Here is a 20,130-nt window from a genome sequence, read left to right as displayed (position 1 = left end):
CAAAGTGCTGGAATTACAGGCTTGAGCCACCGCGCCGGGCCTATGTGTTTTTAAGGAGGCCGGCCTGAGTGTGGTTTTCCTTGTTGAAATGTGTCTCTAAGCAGGTTCCTGGCTCCTGGACTTTCTGGGGCAGGGTTTCCACCCTGTCCCTGGGCAGCCCAGGGGCTGACCCGGAAACCGTGAATTCAGCATGCTCAGCAAAGCCTACAAAGCCATCCTCTTCTGGACAAAGTTCAGACTTCAATTCCTCTGTTCTCAGATGTCAGGCATAGAGCAGAGCCTTGTTAACCACGGTCACACTGTTTCATACTGAATTGTTACAAATTAGTACTTATTCATCCTGCGTAACTGCAACTTTGTATTTTTAACCAATACCTCTTCATTTCCTCCTGCTGATGATCAGGGTATATCCATAGATAATCATCACATTGGCCTGGTGCGGTGGCTCACACGTGTAATCCCAGAACTTTGGGAGGCCGAGGCGGGCGGATCACGAGGTCAGGATACGAGACCATCCTGGCTAAAACGGTGAAACCCTGTCTCTACTAAAAATACAAAAAAATTAGGTGGACATGGTGGGTGGGTGCCTGTAGTCCGAGCTACTGGGGAGGCTGAGGCAGGAGAATGGTGTGAACCCGGGGGAGGCGGAGGTTGCAGTGAGTCGACATCGCACCACTGCACTCCAGCCTGGGCAACAGAGCGACAGAGCGAGACTCTGTCTCAAAAAAAAAGTCTACCAAGGAGTTTTGCTTCACCCATGAAAGGAAGAAAATGGTCCAGGTAAAACGGCCATCGGGATGTAACAAAAAATTGTCAACGATCACACTCTATAGAGGTGGCTGATTTGATACAACACCCAGTGAAATTTTTGACGACAAATATTGCAGACTGCAAGAGACGCTTCTTGTTCGTAGAAATAGAAATAAAGCATGGTGTCTGCGCCTGGCTTTCTGCTGTAAGCTGAAGTACTTCATGGCAGCAGGAATTGGGCAACCCACCGTTTACACTCCACCCTTTGAAACTGGGCTGAATGGGGTGGGGACCCGCCTTTGGGGAGAAAAGCAAATTTTATTTAAGCCCCTGAAAGATGAGAGGGTTGGCCAGGCTTGGTGGCTCACGCCTGTAATCCCAGCACTTTGGGAGGCTGAGGTGGGTGGAACACTTGAGGTCAGGAGTTCGAGACCAGCCTGGCCAGCACGATGAAACCCAGTCTCTACTGAAAATACAAAATGAACCAGGCGTGGTGGCACATGCCTGTAATCCCAGCTACTGGGGAGGCTGAGGCAGGAGAATCGCTTGAACCCTGGAGGCGGAGTTTGCAGTGAGCCAAGATCATTCCATTGCACTCCAGCCTGGGTGACAAGAGCGAAACTCTGTCTCAAAAAAAAAAAAAAAATGCGTATTCCCCAGCCACTGGAAAATGAGATTTCTGAGCAGCTGGATCTGATAATTACCATGAGGTGTCATTACATGATATACACGTGCTTGGAAACAGTATATTATATGTCATAAATGTGTACAATCGTTATGGAGTTTTTTTCTTGAGACAAGGTCTTGCTCTGTTGCCTAAGCTGGAGTGTGCAGTGATGCAATCATGGCTCAGTACAGCCTCAACCTCCTGGACTCAAACCATCCTTCCACCTCAGCCTCCCCAGTAGCTGGAAATACAGGTCTGCACCAGTAGGTCCAGTTAACTTTTGTACTTTTTTTTAAGAGATGAGATCTTGCTATGTTGCCCAGACTGGTCTTGAACTTCTGGCCTTGTGATTCTCCCACCTCAGCCTCCCAAAGCGCTGGGATTACAAGCGTGAGCCACTGCGCCTGATCCGAACGATGACTCTTAAAAATAAAATAAAACTTTAGAAAAGAAGAAAATCTAATGGTGGTTTTTGTCTTTTCATTGGCTCTGTGTTACTTTGTAGCTGCAATTTTTTTTTCCTTCATTAAGTCAGCTCCAAATTTGCAAACTCAAGTGAAAGGTGAGTGAGTTTTCTGTGTATCTTCTTGGCATGGGGTGGTGAGTGTGTGTACGTGTGAGTGTGTGTGTGTGAGTGTGCTGGCTGTCTTGGCTGGCTTCGCTGGCTGGCTGGCTTGGCTGCTTGGCTGGCTTGGCTGGCTTGGCTGGCTGGCAGGCTTGGCTGGCTTGCCTAGTTTGGCTGTCCAGGTAGCTTGGCTGACTTGGCTGGCCGTGGGACATGGCTGGCTTGGGTCTCTTGGCTGGCTTGGCTGGGTGGCTGGCTGGCTTGGCTGGGTGGCTGGTTTGGCTGGCTGACTGGCTGGGCTGGCTGGGCTCGCTGTCTGGTTTGGCCGGCTCGGCTGGCTGGCTGGCTGGCTGGGCTGGCTTGGCTGGCTTGGCTGGCTTGGCTGGCTAGCTGGCTGGCTTGGCTGGCTTGGCTTGGCTCGCTTGGCCTGCTGGCTTGGCTGCCTTGTCTAGCTGGCTGGATTGGCTTGCTTGGCTGCCTGGCTGGCTTGGCTGGCTTGGCTGCCTTGGCTGGCTTGGCTGGCTGGCTGGCTTGGCTGGCTTGGCTGGCTGATTGGCTTGGCTGGCTTGGCCGGCCGGCTTTCCTTTCTTGGCTGGCTGGCTTGGCTGGCTTGGCTGTTTGGGTTGGCTTGGCTGGCTGGGGCGGCTGGGCTGGCTGGCTGGCTTGGCTGGCTGCCTTGCTTGGCTGGCTTGGCTGGCTGGCAGGCTTGGCTGGCTTGCCTGGCTGGCTGGCTTGGCTGGCTTGGCTGGCTGGAGGCTTGGCTGGCTTGGCTGGCTTGGCTGGCTTGGCTGGCTTTCCTGGCTGTCTGGCTTGGCTGGCTTGGCTGGCTGACTGGCTTGGCTGGTTTGGCTGGCTTGGCTGGCTGGCTAGCTGGCTCACTTGGCTGGCTTGGCTGGGTGGGTGGCTTAGCCGGCTTGGCTGACTGGCTTGGCTGGCTTGGACATTAAATATAATAATATATTTGGTACATTAAATATAAATTGTATACGTTAAATATAAACATCTTTTATACATCAAACATAAACATTTTATACATTAAATGTAAACATATCTTATATGTTAAATATAAACATCTTTTATACATTAAATATAAGAATACATTTGGTACATTTAATGTATACAATACATTAAATATAGACATTTTAGACATTAAATATAAGCATATATTCAGCACATTAAATGTAAACATATTTTATACATTAAATATAAATACTGTATATGTTAAATATAAATATGTATTTTCTATATTAAATATAAATATGTATCCTGTACATTAAATATAAACATATTTTCTATATTAAATATAAACATGTATTTTGCATAGTAAATATAACTATACATTTTCTATATTAAACATCAACATGTATTATGTATATTAAACATAAACATATATTTCCCATATTAAATATAAACATATATTTTTATATGTTAAATATAAATATATATTTCCTGTATTAAATATACACATATATATTAAATATAAATATATTTTTCTGTATGAAATGTAAACATATTTTAAACATTAAATATAAATATTCGTCTTAGATATGGCCCGTGTTGGAATGTGTAGTAGATTGAGTATATAATGTCTACTCAATATAAAATTTATATTTATATATGCAGTAATGATTCAAGTTGATTGTAGTTAAGAAAAACAAGCTCCAAATTCGAAAGAAATATGTAAGAAGAGAGACAGGAAGAAAAAATAATGAGGCAGGTAAATGCAACAGACAATTCGAGACCCACAAATGCAGAGCAGGCTTCCCAGACCCGGGTAATGTCTCCTGGGCTGATAGGAAGCCCTCAACCCCCCAAGTCCTTCTCAGCCGTAAACCGCCTGAGCACAGAGCCACAGGGACCGTGTTGGGGCTGGGCCTCCCGACTTCAGTTCCTCTCATTCTGTGCAAAAGGAAAAACAATTCAGAATCTACAGAGTTTTAGAGGTGTGCAGATGTGGACAGAGAAGTCCGGGCACAGTGGTTTACTGCCCAAGAAGACAGTGAGTCCCCGGAGGAATAGAAGAATATACATCATGCTAATATATGTCATCCCAGTACTTTGGGAGGCCGAGGCAGGTGGATCACTTGAGGTCAAGAGTTCGAGACCAGCCTGGCCAACATGGTGAAACCCCGTCTCTACTAAAAATACAGAAATTAGTTGGCCGCGGGGGTGGATGACTGTGATCCCAGATACTCGGGAGACAGAGGCAGGATGAACTGCTTGAACCTGGGAGGAGGAGGTTGCAGTGAGCTGAGATCATGCCATTGCACTCCAGCCTGGGGAAAAGAGCAAGATCCCGTCTCAAAGAAAAAAGAAAAAAAGAAAGAAGTTGTGAGTGCTAAGTTCTCTCTGGATTTTCAGGAGGCCAGTTCTCCAGTCCACGGTGGCCTGGGAGGACAGGGGTTCCTGAGGGTGAACAGAGCCTGTGCCCGGTCAGGTAGGATCATATGTCCCTGAAGTTCAGAACCCAGGAGCATGGGGATGGTCCTGGGGGTTCCTGCTGCACGGAGGGAAGACCCTCTTTCCACAGGGGCCCCGGAGAGCGAGAGGAAGGAGGAGGGCAGGTCAGTGAGTGTGATGGGGTCACAGTGGAGAGGGAAGCAGAAAGAAGTGTTCCCACAGCAAGACACACACAGTGTCCACGCTGAAGCTACAGAGAGGACCTCTCCACCTGTGTCTGCCGCAAAGCAGTGGGGCGTCTTCTGGCAGCCCAGAGTCACCTCCAGATCCCACCTGCACCATGCTTCCTGCGGAGACTGCCTGTCTTCCTAATACACTGTCTTCTGACCAGTCTTCCAGACAAATCACTGGTTGCTATATATATATATTTTTTAATAGCTAATATCTTACACTGATATATTTATATTATATATAAATAATTTTGTGCTTTATGTTTATGCTATATATACAGATGTAGTTAGTTATTTATGTTATATATAATATAAACATGATGTATATTCTTATATTTCTCTGGGGACTCACTGTCTTCTTAATACACTGTCTTCTGACCAAATTCTTCCAGACAAATCAGCTGTTGCTATATATATATATATGCTATATATTTTATTGCATAGAATATATTATATATTATATATTAATTATAGAATATATTATATATTATATATTAATTATATAATATATGTTACACATTACATATTATATATAATATATTATGCTATATCTTATATATTATATATGTTATATATGTATATATATTATATGTACACATATACACATACATACACACATGTATACTTTAATAGCTAATATCTTACACTGGTATATTTATATTACATATGATTATATACAAATATTTTTGTACTTTATGTTTGTGCTCTATATACAGATGTAATTAGTTGTTTATGTTATATATAATATAAACATGATGTATATTCTTATTTTCCTGTGAGGACCCACTGTCTTCTTAATACACTGTCTTCTGACCAAAGTCTTCCACACAAATCAGCAGTTACTATATATATATATAATATTTATATACACATATACACATACATACACACATATGTATATTTTAATAGCTAATATCTTACACTGATATATTTATATTACATATAGTAATATACTAATATTTTTGTACTTTATGTTTATACTATACATACAGATGTCGTGAGGTATTTATATTATATATAATATATTAACATGATGCACATTCTTGTATTCTCCTGGGGACTCACTGTCTTCTTAATACACTGTCTTCTGACTAGAATATTCCAGACAAATCACCGGTTGCTCTCTCTCTCTCTCTCTCTCTATATATATATTTTTTAATAGCTAATATCTTACACTGATATATTTATATTACATATAGTTATATACAAATATTTTTGTACTTTTGTTTATACTATATACACAGATGTAGTTAGCTATTTATGTTATATATAATATATCAACATGATGTATATTCTTATATTCCTCTGGAGACTCACAGTCTTCTTAATACACTGTCTTCTGACCAAACTCTTCCAGACAAATCAGCTGTTGCAGTATATATATATATTTATTTTTTAATAGCTAGTATTTTACACTGTGGCTCATGCCTGTAATCCCAGCATTTTGGGAGGCCGAGGCGGGTGGATCACCTGAGGTCAGGAATTTGAGACCATCCTGGCTAACACAGTGAAACCCCATCTCTACTAAAAATACAAAAATTGATTGGGTGTGGTGGTGCATGCCTGTAATCCCAGCTACTCGGGAGGCTGAGGCAGGAGAATCGCTTGAACCCAGGAGGCAGAGGTTGCAGTGAGCCGAGATCGTGTTGCTGCACTCCAGCCTGGGCAACAGAGCGAGACTTCATCTCACACACACAAAACAGCTTACACTGATGTATTTATATTACGTGTAGCTGTATATAAATATTTTTGTACTTATATTCTATATATTATAAAATATTATATAAAATTATACATGTATAATAAAATGTTACATAAAAATTTTAATATAATACCATTTTATTACATATATTTCTAAATTTAATATAATGAAATTTTATATATAATAATGTATAACATTTCTAAATTTATTATAATACAATGATATATAATTATTTTCTCATATTATAATTATACATAAGGTAATTTATTATAAATAAAATTTTATATAATCTACATTTATTATAATAAAATTTTATTACATATAACACATTTCTAAATTTAATACAATAAAATACTATGTATAATAATTTATAACGTTTCAAAATTTATTATATAATTTTATTATACAATTATACATAATTATATATAGTATATAATTGTATTTATAGAAATATAATGATGCATATGCAATATGTAATTTTATTTTTACACAGTATATATGCATAATTATGTATTAACAAATATAATAATATCAATTTTATATACTTATTTACATTAAGTTATATATTATATAAATGATGTTATATGTTATATATGTTACATATATTTTTGCTTAATATATTAAATTTAATCTATAAAATTATGTATTAGAAATAGAAGTATTTTACATATACACTACATATAACTTTATTTATATAAAAATATAAAAGTCATATGGTTAAGTTAATAAAATAATTTGTATCAATCTATTCATATAAAATATACACAATGCATATTTATATAAATACAAAGTATATAAAACTTTTACCAGTAGGATGCAAAGAGTTGCTGACCGTCTGCAGAAATCCTGAACCTCTGGAAGCAGAATAAAATCTTACCTCCCAGTCTGCTTTGAAAGGAACAGTAAAGCAGTCCCGAACCCCAAACCCACCCTAAAGGGAGATGGGGGAGTTGGGATGGACGCGTTGACCAGTGAGGACTTTCCTTTGCTGGTTTTGAGGTGTCTTAGCCCAGAAGCTAAGATGGGAAGTGATTCTGGAGCAGGTGAGCTGATCACAAGCCTGAGCCAAGAATCCATGGAGCTCATAAATAGCAGAAGCCAGGACCCTGTGCAAATCCTTCTGAAATATTCTCCATTTACTGGGCTCCTAGGGGTGGGGAAGAAAAATTCCCTGACATTTCGGCCTCAGGGAAAGAGAGAGACACCCCACTGGCCGGAAGCCTCTGCTATTTTTCAGAAGACAGCTGGGGCATCACCCTTTCCCAAATGACGGTGATTTTCAGAGTGGTTCACTTTTTGGAGAGACATTTCTGCCCTGGAGATCCATACATATTGAACCCAAATGAATATTTTTTAATAAAAAAAATTAAACTTTAGAAAGTTCAATATTGAGGCAGCTACGAGTATGAATTCCTCATTTTTCCTAAATGCATGTTGTCAAAATTTGTATTGCATTTAGTAACTACTTATGTTTCTAATGTATATAAGGTTACACAATGTTTTCTTCTTTTTCTGCTCCTCAGGGTCAGAATTTGAAATAAAAGTTTTGGAAAGAAAAAACACTCTTGTCTGTTTGTGCAAAAATAAAATAACCCATATTTTAAGAATATTTTAAAATAAATACAAATTTTGTGTGGGGGGGTTGCTTATAAGAATTCTTCATATCCTAAATCAAAGATAGATCTTGTTATTAACCAGAAAACAAAATGTGTGTGTATAAATGTACAACACTCTTACACTCACACAAACACAGGCACACATGCACACACACACATTCATGCACTCACTGATGTACTCACACAAACACAGGCATTCATGTATAAATACACACATAAGCGTGTATTTATAGAAATATAATTATGCACATACAATATATAATTTTATTTTTACATAGTATATATACATAATTACGTATTAACAAATATAATAAGATCAATTTTATTATATACTTATTTACATAAAGATATATTATATAAATGATGTTATATGGCATGTATATATCACATATAACTTTGCTTAGTATATAAAATTTAATCTATAAAATTATGTATCACAAATAAAAGTATATTTTACATATACACTATATATAACTTTATTTATATGAACTATAAAAATCATGTTTATATTAATAAAATATATTTATTTATATCAATATATTAATATAAAGTATGCACAATGTATATTTATATAAAAATTTTTAATTAAAAAATATTCATTTGGGTTCAATATGTATGGATCGCCAGGGCAGAAACGTCTCTTCAAAAGGTGAACCGTTCTTAAAATCACCGTCATTTGGGAAAGAGTGATACCCCACCTGTTTTCTGAGAAACAGCAGAGGCGTATGGCCAGCGGGGTATCTCTCTCTTTCCCTGAGGCCGAAAAGTCAGGGAATTTTTCTTCCCCACCCCTAGGAGCTCTGTAAACCGGGGATATTTCAGAAGGATTTGCACAGGGTCCCGGCTTCTGTTGTAAATGAGCTCCATGGATTCTCGGCTCAGACTTGTGATCAGCTCACCTGCTCCAGAATCACTGACACAAATGCAACCACACACTTACACAAACACACATCAACACAAAGAATCACAAAACACACTCATAGAAACACATGGACACACGAAGACATGCACACTCACACAAATGCAGGGACACACAAACACAATTACAAAAATGTGTGGGTTTTTTGCACACGTGGGTGCACATGCACATTGACATTCTCACAAAGCACACAAACACGTATACATACAAAGTCACTCATAAACAGAAACATGCAAACACTCTCATATAAACACGTGGATGGCTACTCACCCACATAGACACTCATATATGTCATACACACTCATACACACACTCAGAATCACACAAGCACACACAAACACATAAATACAGTCACACACTCATGGAAACACAGTCACAAAAAGACTCACATAATCATGTGGACACACAAACATAAAAATTCACACACTGGGGCCGGGCAAGGTGGCTCACGCCTGTACTCCCAGAACTTTGGGAGGCCGAGGCGGGCAGATAACTTGAGGTCGGGAGTTCCAGACCAGCCTGGCCAACATGGTGAAACCCCGTCTCTACTCAAAAATACAAAAATTAGCCAGATGTAGTGGCTTATGCCTGTAATCCCAGCTACTCAGGAGGCTGAGGCAGGAGAATCATTTGAACCCGGGAGGCAGAGGTTGCAGTGAGCCAAGATCATGCCACTGCACTCCAGCCTGGGCGACAGAACGAGACTCCGTATCAAAAAAGAAAAATTAGCCAGATGTGGCGGTGGGTGCCTGTAATCCCAGGTACTCAGGAGGCTGAGGCAGAAGAATTGCTTGAACCCGGGAGGCGGAGGTTGCTGTGAGCTGAGATTGTACCTTTGCACTCCAGTATGGGTGACAGAGCGAGACTCCATCTCAAAAAAAAAAAAAAGAATTTATACATTGCCATACAGATTCACACACATACACTCATATTCACAAACAGACAAATACGATAAACGCAGGGGCACACAAAAACACCATCACAAAAACACACTTCCATAAAACACAGGAATGCACGCTCACACAGAAACACGCATGGAAACACACATTGTCTTACAGACTCACAGACACACTCATCATCACATAAACAGGCACACACACACACAGCCACACAAGCACACACCCACACCCACATCAACACACACACTCCCACACGGCACACATGCGCTCACGCACACAGGTAGAACAGGCCTGCATTACCTGATAACGCAGTTAAATCAGACGTGATGCTGCCTGCTGAGGAGACCTGGAGGCTTCCCATGAATGGGCTTTCAGAAGAGAGGTCTCTGGGTGCATTTGGTGACACCCCAGGCAGTGGGGGAGACGTCCAGGCTGGAAGGCCAGACACAGCCAGCTCTGCCCAAGGATGCCACGTCCATTTGCTTCAGTAGGATATGTACCCTGGAAACCCAGCTTCCTGCCTCTCCAGGAAACCCCACTGAGGTCAGCACATCCCCCCAGGTTTAGAAGGGGTCTCTGGGTGCATCTGGTGACACCCCAGGTGGGGGGGAGACATCCAGGCTGGAAGGCCAGCCACAGCCAGCTCTGCCCGCGGATGCCACGTCCATTTGCTTCAGTAGGATCTGCATCCTGTAAACCCTGGTTCCTGCTTCTCCAGGACACCCCACTGAGGTCAGCACTCTCCCCAGGTTTAGAAGGGGTCTCTCAGTGAAATGTGGTGACACCCCAGGCAGAAGGGGGGATGCCACAGCCAGCTCTGCCCGCGGATGCCACGTCCATTTGCTTCAGTCGGATCTGCACCGTGGATACCCAGGTTCCTGCCTCTCCAGGACACCCCACTGATGTTAGCACACCCTCCAGGTTTACAAGCGGTCTCTGGGTACATTTGGTGACACCGTAGGCAGAGGGGGGACACCACAGCCAGCTCTGCCCGCGGATGCCACGTCCATTTGCTTCAGTAGGATCTGCACCCTGTAAACCCTGGTTCCTGCCTCTTCAGGACACCCCACTGAGGTCAGCACCCCCCACCCCCCACCCCCAGGTTTGTGCAGCTTCACTGTCTGGGGAGGGACACAGAAAGACCACATTCGGTGGAATTCTGGCTATAACCTTTTGTGGCCGGCAAGAAGGATCACCAAGCTGTCCTGTTACCTTGCTGGAGTGATCACTGGCTTCACGCTTGGCCCCCGTGCAGTGAGTGCCTGGGCCAGGCTCGATTCTTGGAGCTCCAGTGAAATTTGGGCTTGGAGCTCACGCCTGCACCATCCAGAAAGCAGAAGGCAGCTGGCCCGGGCTGTACGGTTCGTAGAATCAGAGAGAACACTGCTTGCCTTCATGTCTGTACCACAATAAATCTGCCAACTGTGGTCAAAGTCTCTGGATTCCTGCCCCCTCATTTTATTTTGTCTATTATGGAGTGGAAGGAGTGAGAAAGATTTTGCTTCCTATTTTGTTTTGCAAGGCGTTTCTAAGAAAAACAACCCGTGTTCTGCAAACGAGATTCTGAGTGTCCCCTGGGCGTGATGAAAACAAACTTTGGGAATCCAAGGGCCTGAGAGGCAGAGTGAATGTCATTCACATTTCCCTGCGAATGACAAAGTCACTTTTTATTATTATTATTATTATTATTATTATTATTATTATTATTATTATAATTATAGATTCAGGGGATCCATGGGCAGCTTTGTGTCCTGGGGATATTGTACAATGCTGAGGTTTGGGGTATGAATAATCCCGTCACCCAGGCACTGAGCATTGTACATTCCTGAGGTATATAATGTGTACTAAAAATAAAATGTATATTTATATATGCACTAATGATTCAACTTGATTCCTTGTAATTAAGAAAAACAAACCCCAAATTCGAGAGGAGTTCTAGAAATATATAAGAAGAGGGCCAGGCGCAGTGGCTCATGCCTGTAATCCCAGCACTTTGGGAGGCCAAGGCAGGCAGATTACCTGAGGTCAGGAGTTCGAGACCAGCCTGGCCAACATGGTGAAACCCCGTCTCTGCTAAAAATACAAAAATTAGCCAGGTGTGGTGGCAGGTGCCTGTAGTCCCAGCTACTTGGGAGGCTGAAGTAGAAGAATTGCTTGAATCCAGGAGGCAGAAGTTGCAGGGAGCCAAGATTGCACCACTGCACTCCAGCCTGGGTCACAGAGTGAGACTCCATCTCAAAAAAAAAAAAAAAGAGAGAGAGAGAGAGAGAAAACAAACAAGCAAGAAAATGCAACAGAAAAATCCGTGACCCAAAGATCTCTCCAGTTGCTGCCTTCTGCCTGAAATTCAAAGAATCTCAGGGTAGTTTTTCAACTCTTGTACCCCCGCCCCTGCTTCCTACTCTATTAGTCCTGAGGGTCTGTGGTGCTCCTTCATTGTGTCCAGGTGCAGGCAATGTTTAGCTCCCACCTATAAGCAAAAACATGTGGTATTTTATTTTCTGTTCCTGGCGTTAATTCACTAAGCATAGTGCCCTTCAGCTTCATCCATGTGACTGCAAAGGGCATGATTTTATTCTTGTTCATGGCTGTGTAGTATTCCATGATGCGGAAGGATCACATTTACTTTATCTAATTGAGCACATGTGGTATTTGATTTTCTGTTTCTGGCATTAATTCACTAAGCATAATTCCCTTCAGCTTCATCCACGTTGCTGCAAAGGGCATGATTTTATTCTTGTTCATGGCTGTGTAGTATTCCATGATGCAGAAGGACCACATTTGCTTTATCTAGTGCAGAACATGTGGTATTTGATTTTCTGTTCCTCATATTGATTCACTAAGCATAATGCCCTCTGGCTGCATCCATGTGGCTGCAAAGACATGATTTTATTTTTTTCATCACTGTGTAGTATTCCGTGGTGTAGAAGGGCCACATTTGCTTTATCCAGTTGAGAACATGTAGTATTTCATTTTCTGTTCCTGGCATTAATTCACTAAGCATAATGTCCTTCAGCTGTGTCCATGTGGCTGCAAAGGACATGACATTATTCTTTTTCATGGCTGTGTAGTATTCCATGACGTAGAAAGACCACATTTGCTTTATCTAGTGGAGAACATGTGGTATTCCATTTTCTTTTCCTGGCGTTAATTCACTAAGCATAATTCCCTTCAGCTGTGTCCATGTGGCTGCAAAAACATGATTTTATTCTTTTTCATGGCAGTGCAGTATTCCATGGTGTAGAAGGGCCACAATTGCTTTATCCAGTCAAGAACATGTGGTATTTGATTTTCTGTTCTTGTGTTAATTCATTAAGCATAATGCCCTCCAGCTACATCCATGTGGCTGCAAAGGACATGATTTTATTCTTTTTCATGGCTGTGTAGTATTCGATGCTGTAGAAGAACCACTTTTGCTTTATCCGGTACCCCACTGATGGGCAACTAGGTTGATTCCATGACTTTCCTATTGTAAGTCGTGCTGTGATGAACCTTACAGGGCCAGGCACTGTAATCCCAGCACTCTGGAGGGCCAAGGTGGGCAGATCACCTGAGGTCAGGAGTTCGAGACCAGCCTGGTCAATATGGTGAAACCCTGTCTCTACTAAAAATACAAAAATTAGCCAGGCATGGTGGTGCATGCCTGTAATCCCAGCTGCTCAGGAGGCTGAGGCAGGAGAATCACTTGAACCCTGGAGACAGAGGTTGCAGTGAGCCGAGATTGCTACTGCACTCCAGCATGGGAAATAGAGCGAGACTCCATCTCAAAAAACAAACAAAAAAGGAACTTTACCATGCGTGTGTCTTTTTGGTAGAATGACTTCTTTTCCTTTGGGTAGATGCCCAGTCTTGGAATTGCTGGTGCAAATGGTGGAGCAGTTTGGATTCGGGAGGTACATGTACAGGTTTCTTACATGGGTACAATGTGTGATGCTGAGGTCTGGGGTATGAGTGATCCCATCACCCAGGTAGTGAGCATAATACCCCACAGTTGGTTTTTTCAACTCTTGTCCTTCTACCTTCCTCTCTCCCCCTAACTAGACCCCAATATCTGTTCCCTTCTCTGTGTCTACATATACGCAACATTTAGCTCCCACTTATAAGTGAGAACACGCAGCATTCTGTTAATTTACTTAAGATAATGGCCTCCACACTGTTCACAATAGCAAAGATGTGGAACCAACCCAAATGCTCATCAGTGATAGACTGGATAAAGAAAATGTAGCACATAGACACTGTGGAATACTATGCAGCCATGAAAAAGATGAGTTCATGTCCTTTGCAGGGACATGGATGAAGCTGGAAACCCTCATGTTCAGCAAAGTGACACAGGAGCAGAAAACCAAACAGTGCATGTTCTCACTCATAAGTGGGAAGTGAACAATGAGAACACATCGACCCAGAGAGGGGAACATCACACACTGGGGCCTATTGCAGGGGTGGGGGACTGGGGGAGGGACAGCATTATGAGAAATATCTAATGTAGATGATGGGTTGATGGGTGCAGCAAACCGCTATGGCACATGTATATCTATGTAACAATCCTGCACATTCTGCACATATACCCCAGAACTTAAAGTAGAATAGAAAAAATAATAAAAATAATTAAAAAAAATAATGGCCTCCAGCTACATCCATGTTGCTGCAAAAAAAAAAAACAAAAAACAAAAAAAAAAAACCATGATTTTGTTCCTTTTCAGGGTTGCGTAGTAGTCCATGGTGTAGATGTACCGCATTTTCTTTGAGGGTGGAGGGTGGGAGGAGGGAGAAGATCAGCAAAAATAACCTGTGGCTGGGTATGGCAGCTCACACCTGTATTCTCAGCAGTTTGGGAGGCTGAGGTGGGTGGATCACCTGAGGTCAGGAGTTTGAGATCAGCCTGGCCAACATGGCAAAACCCTATCTCTACTAAAAGTACAAAAATTAGCCGGGCATGGTGGTGCATGCCTGTAATCCCGGCTCCTCTGTAGGTTGAGGCAGGAGAATCTCTTGAACCCAGGAGGCAGACATTGCAGTGAGCTGAGATCGTGCCACTGCCCTCCAGCCTGGGCCACAGAGTGGGACTCCATCTCAAAAAATAATCATAAAAATAATAATAACAACCTGCTAGGCTTAGGACCTAGGTTGATTCCATTACAAAAAAAAAAAAAAAAAAAAAAACAAAAAAAAACCCTAACTTTTTTTTTTTTTTTTTTTTTTTTTTTTTTTTGAGACGGAGTCTCACTCTGTCGCCCAGGCTGGAGTGCAGTGGCGCGATCTCGGCTCACTGCAAGCTCCGCCTCCCGGGTTCACGCCATTCTCCTGCCTCAGCCTCCCGAGTAGCTGGGACTACAGGCGCCCGCCACCACGCCCGGCTAATTTTTTGTATTTTTAGTAGAGACGGGGTTTCACCGTGTTAGCCAGGATGGTCTCGATCTCCTGACCTCGTGATCCGCCCGCCTCGGCCTCCCAAAGTGCTGGGATTACAGGCGTGAGCCACCGCGCCCGGCCAAAACCCTAACTTTTTAAAAGAAGGATCTCTCTGTTCAAAAACAAAACCAATGCCCTGTCAGGAAAGATGTTCTGTGTTTCTGGTAAAGCTGGAAGGAACCTACAGGAAGGAGTCACCCCATAAAACTAGTGGAGCAGCATTGCCTTTTGGGGTGAGGGCTGCTTCTGTTAGGCCACCAGGATGAGTGCCTTCCTGGGGAGTGTGGTTCATCCTATACCATCCAGGAAGCAATTCCTGCCCCCAAATCACCTGCCAGCTTCTGCCCTGTAAGTAAAATCCCCAGCAAGCGGGCAGCAAGGAGCTGCTTGCCTTGGAAGGCAGCTGAAGTCTCTGCCCACCACCCAGACTGTGTCCTCTGGGCAAGGCCAGGGCTTCCAGTTGGATGGTTTTCACATTAGCGGCTGCTGTTTAGAATCATCAACATTGGCCAGGCGCGGTGGCTCACGCCTGTCATCTCAGCACTTTGGGAAGCCGAGGCGGGTGGATCACAAGGTCAGGGACCAGCCTGGCCAACATGGTGAAACCCTGTCTCAACTAAAAAAAGAAATACAAAAATTAGCTTGGTGTGGCTGGGCATGGTGGCTCATCCCTGTAATCCCAGCACTTTGGGAGGCCGAGGTGGGCAGATCATGAGGTCAGGAGATCAAGACCATCCTGGCTAACATGGTGAAATGAAACCCCGTCTCTACTAAAAATACAAAAAATTAGCCAGGCACGGTGGCAGGCACCTGTAGTCCCAGCTACTCGTGAGGCTGAGGCGGAAGAATGGCATGAACCTGAGAGGCGGGGTTTGCAGTGAGCCCAGATTGCACCACTGCACTCCAGCCTGGGCGATATAGAGTGAGACTCTGTCTCAAAAAAAACAAAAAAATAAAAAATTAGCCTGGTGTGGTGGTGGGCACCTGTAATCCCAGCTACTCAGGAGGCTGAGGCAGGAGAATTGCTTGGACCCCGGAGGCAGAGGTTGCAGTGAGCCGAGATCGCACCATTGCACTCCAGCCTAGACAACAGAACAAGACTCTGTTGTAAAAAAAAAAAAAAAAAAAAAAGAATCATCAACATTGCCTTGGCCCAATCTCTTCCCAGACTTGTCAAATCTTTACCACTGGACCTCCATGTTCTAGTTTCAAAGCTCTGCTGGCCACAGTGGCTCATGTCTGTAATCCCAGCACTTTGGGAGGCTGAGGTAGGAGGACTGCTTGAACCCAGGAGCATGAATCCATCCTAGGCAACATAGTGATAATAGTGTCAAATGAGAGCCAGTGTCCAGTAATTCCCCAAATATCTGAGAATTTTCTTTTCTTTAAGTCACAGTCATCCTGGCAGAAGGCTGTAGGTCCCTTTGGGGAAGACTGGGAAAAAGATTAACAATGTAAATTTTTGGCAATGTAGCAGCGTACTTCCCCAAGATCACCCAGCCTCCCCTTCACTTAAGGGGTTGTGGGCCTGTGAACTGGCTCAAGTCTGGGAATTGATTGAGGGTTTTAGATCTGTGTTTCATTAATTTGAGTTAGTCTTTTATTCAGTTGACCTAGAATTCTTCATTTTTTAAAGAACAACTAAGACTTTGGTACAGCCCATTAGCTCTCCCTGTGGATACCGTGGACTACACAATGCCGTGGGTGTCTGTGAGTCAAGCCATTCTGACTGCTGCTTTGACACTGCTTTCCACTGTGGTGACCACACCCACCTCATCTTTGGTGATTAAGGACAGCCCATGTTCCCTGCCACCCCAGGATTCAATTATCCTCATTTTACTTAAAGATCCCAGTCCAGTGGCTGCAGTTCCTGCTGTAACATTTTGCCTACTGAGAGCACAAGCTCAAAGCTCTTCCAGGATACTGGGCTCCTCTCACAATATTCTTTCTCATGATCGTTGTGAGGAGTATGTTCCGTAGACCCTCCAGTGTGAGTGAGCAGGTCTGACATAATAAATCCAGTCTCCCTGAGTTTTTGCATACCTTTCTGTACACATAAACCAAGGAAGTTGTGGCATCTCAACTTTATGTACCTTAGGTAAACTCTGATTCTGTTTCAGCCAACCAACCAAGTCACCAAACAAATAAGCAAACAGCCAACCAATCAACCAACAAGCAAGCAAGCAACAAACCAACCAAACAACCAAGCAAGGAAGCAAGCACCAACCAACCAAGCAAGCAACCAACCAAGTAACCGATCAAACCAACCCTTGGAGCCCTTTCTAAAGCTTTGACCTACAACCCTGAGTCCAGAATCTCTGTTTAGTGGGCCAACATTAATAAATTTAGCCTAATCCAACTTTATGTTACTTCCACCATGGTGCCACACACTTAATATCCATTCCCACATATATTCTCCAGATTTCCTTCTGTATAAATTGCGTGTGTGTGTGTGTGTAGAAAGAGAGCATCAACTGAAAAATCACACAATTTTATAAATTTAGAAAGGAGAGCTTTATTTCTTATATAGGTTTGCAGTCTGCAAGGTGGCCATTATGACAGGCTGGGAAGTGTGGCCTACAGCCAAGGCCAGAGGCAGGCATTTCCAGGGAGGGAAGGAGAGGACAGGAATTTGAGCCAAATGAGTTGGCTACATATACATACTCAATAGGATATCAGAGGAGCTATATCATTTTATGAGAATACTCATAAAAGAGGTCCTAATGCATGCACATTCAATAAACATGCATGTTCATTCTGGGGTGGAGACTTGACATTTAAATGTATTATAATTAGGCCCTACACATCAAAAAGTGAAGCAGGGACATGAAGGTACTCAGCCTCTGTAAAGGCACTGCCTCCAAAACTGGCCAGAACGAGTCCATGGAGGATGGTCTCTTATCAGGAGAAAGTTACTGAAATCAGTCCCTTGTCCAGAGAAAGCTGTCATTAAGGTTAGTGGGGCAGGAGATCAGTTACTCAGCGTCTGTGAACTGGGTGAGTTGTAATTGTTTTAATCTTGCTTCTCTCACAGCCAGTGCTTGCTTGGTTGCTAGAGAAAAATAAAACCCATGTGGTAGTTAGAATCTAGTTAATTCTTTAAGAGTAGGGTACAAGACTTAACGCTCGCCTGGCATGGCCCTAGGTCCTGTTTATAATTTGAGGTCTTATTGCCACAAAGAGTCTGTTCTGTCAGTCTCATGATCTCTATTTTAACATTAATGCTGTTCAGTTGTTGGGTCTAAGCCATAAGAGGGAGGGAGGTACAGGGAGGTATGTCTGACCTCCTGTCCTGTCATGGCCAAGAACTGAATTTTAAGATTTATTTGAGGTTCCGTTGGCCAACAGGGGGTCTGTTAAGTCGGGTGGGGGGCTTAGGATTTTATTTTTAGTTTTCAAGGGAGATAAAATAATTTAATCAATTGGCCCCCGTGACTGTGGGATTAACATGGCTATGATCTGTCGGACAGACTTCACGCTGGCACCCAGGCAAAATTCTATGCTGTAGTAAATGCATCATGCACATTTGTAACAACACGTACATAACAATGTCACAAAATACTTTCACGGTGACACCTAGATTAGTATTTTATTGAATAGCTGATGATATAAACTGGCTCATTTGATGCCAAGACTGACCATCACCACCATACCAAGGTCATCACTGATCAGAGGCCTAACCCAAGGAGGGGGTCATGTGCAGACCCAGCAGTGGGGAGGAAAGATGCTGCAGAGGAGACGGATGCCCACAGAGGCCCCTGAGCAGACACAATGCTCACTAAGTGGTAAGTATAGACTCAACGTAGGCTGTAAGGTCTCCCCCTGTGCAAATGGGACCCCGTCCACTTGAGAGTCAAGGGTCTGTTTGGGTGGCAGGGATAGCCACTTCTGAAGGTAGAAAGGAAAATAAGCCACCAATTTGGTAGCTTTCTGTGAAATGGACATCGTGCTTAGAATCTCCATTTTCCCCACAACCTGGAGGAATAAGTACTGTCATCTGCATTTTGTAGCTGAAGAATCTGACTCAACAAAATTAAATTACTCGCCTAAGCAATTAGCAATTAACCAAGTCTTTCTGACTCAGAAACCCAGCTGTTGCCTGTTCATATCCAGCCCCTGTATTGGGGTCAAGATCTGGCCTGTTCTCAATGCAGCAAGATCCAGGCAGATCACACTGGACTCCCAGCACTGAATCTGGCTCGAGGGGACATCAAATTTGACTGGGTCATGGGGCTCAGGAGCATCACTCTCAAAAATAGCAGTACAGGAAGAGGCGATGGCCCTAAACAGCATTTGCAGGCAGATCCCATGTTAATCGTAAGGGTCAGGACTCTCACTTTTCTGTCTCTCTCTCTGTCTCTCCTCTAGGGCTGACCCCACATTGGACACCACTACATCCATGTCCATCACACACCACAGCTGCCTTTTCTTCTGCCTGCTTATGGGAAAGTCCCCTCCTCTCCTCCATTTTCTTCTCTTCCTGCCCTATCACACCGTGCACTTCTCCCTTTCCTTAAAGAACCACCATCAACTTTAGGAGGAGGGAAAGGGGTGGCTCTGGCAGGAAAAGCCAGAATCCCCTCTAGCCAGCAGAGAGAGAGGAATGGCTGCCTGTTTTCTCCCCCAGTCCAAGGCACTAGGTTTTGGCTAGGTTGCAGGTTCCAAGCTGCTCTCCTGCTGTGTCGGCGAGTTCTGGTCAACCTGCAACCTCCTGATGTGGCCACTGCAGTTCATCGAGTCTTCAGGGACTCCCCATGGCCTGGAGTACTTTGCCTTGCTTACACGGGAGAGGAGAATGGATTTATAGGGAACATCATCTAAATCCAACTTGACCATTGTGTGGCCACACTTGCTAGATTGCTATAGTCTAAATCTAGCATTGTAGAAAGACGGGGGAGCTTGGAGCTGCACAAACCCAGGTCTGGAACTGGCTCCTTACCTTGAAAGGTGAATGATCCTGGCAGGACTCTTAG

The 20,130-nt window shown here is 43.3% G+C and overlaps 1 pseudogene; it reads right to left on the bottom strand.

Annotated features, from left to right (window-relative positions):
• Positions 1–665: 665 nt before the first annotated feature.
• On the bottom strand, positions 666–1,372 carry LOC102724269 (uncharacterized; annotated as a pseudogene).
• Positions 1,373–20,130: the final 18,758 nt, after the last annotated feature.

This window comes from Homo sapiens, chromosome 1, assembly GCF_000001405.40.
Source record: "Homo sapiens chromosome 1, GRCh38.p14 Primary Assembly".
Lineage (NCBI taxonomy): Eukaryota > Metazoa > Chordata > Mammalia > Primates > Hominidae > Homo > Homo sapiens.
Note: the sequence above shows the minus strand (reverse complement) of the source record. Positions and strands in the feature narration are given on the sequence as shown.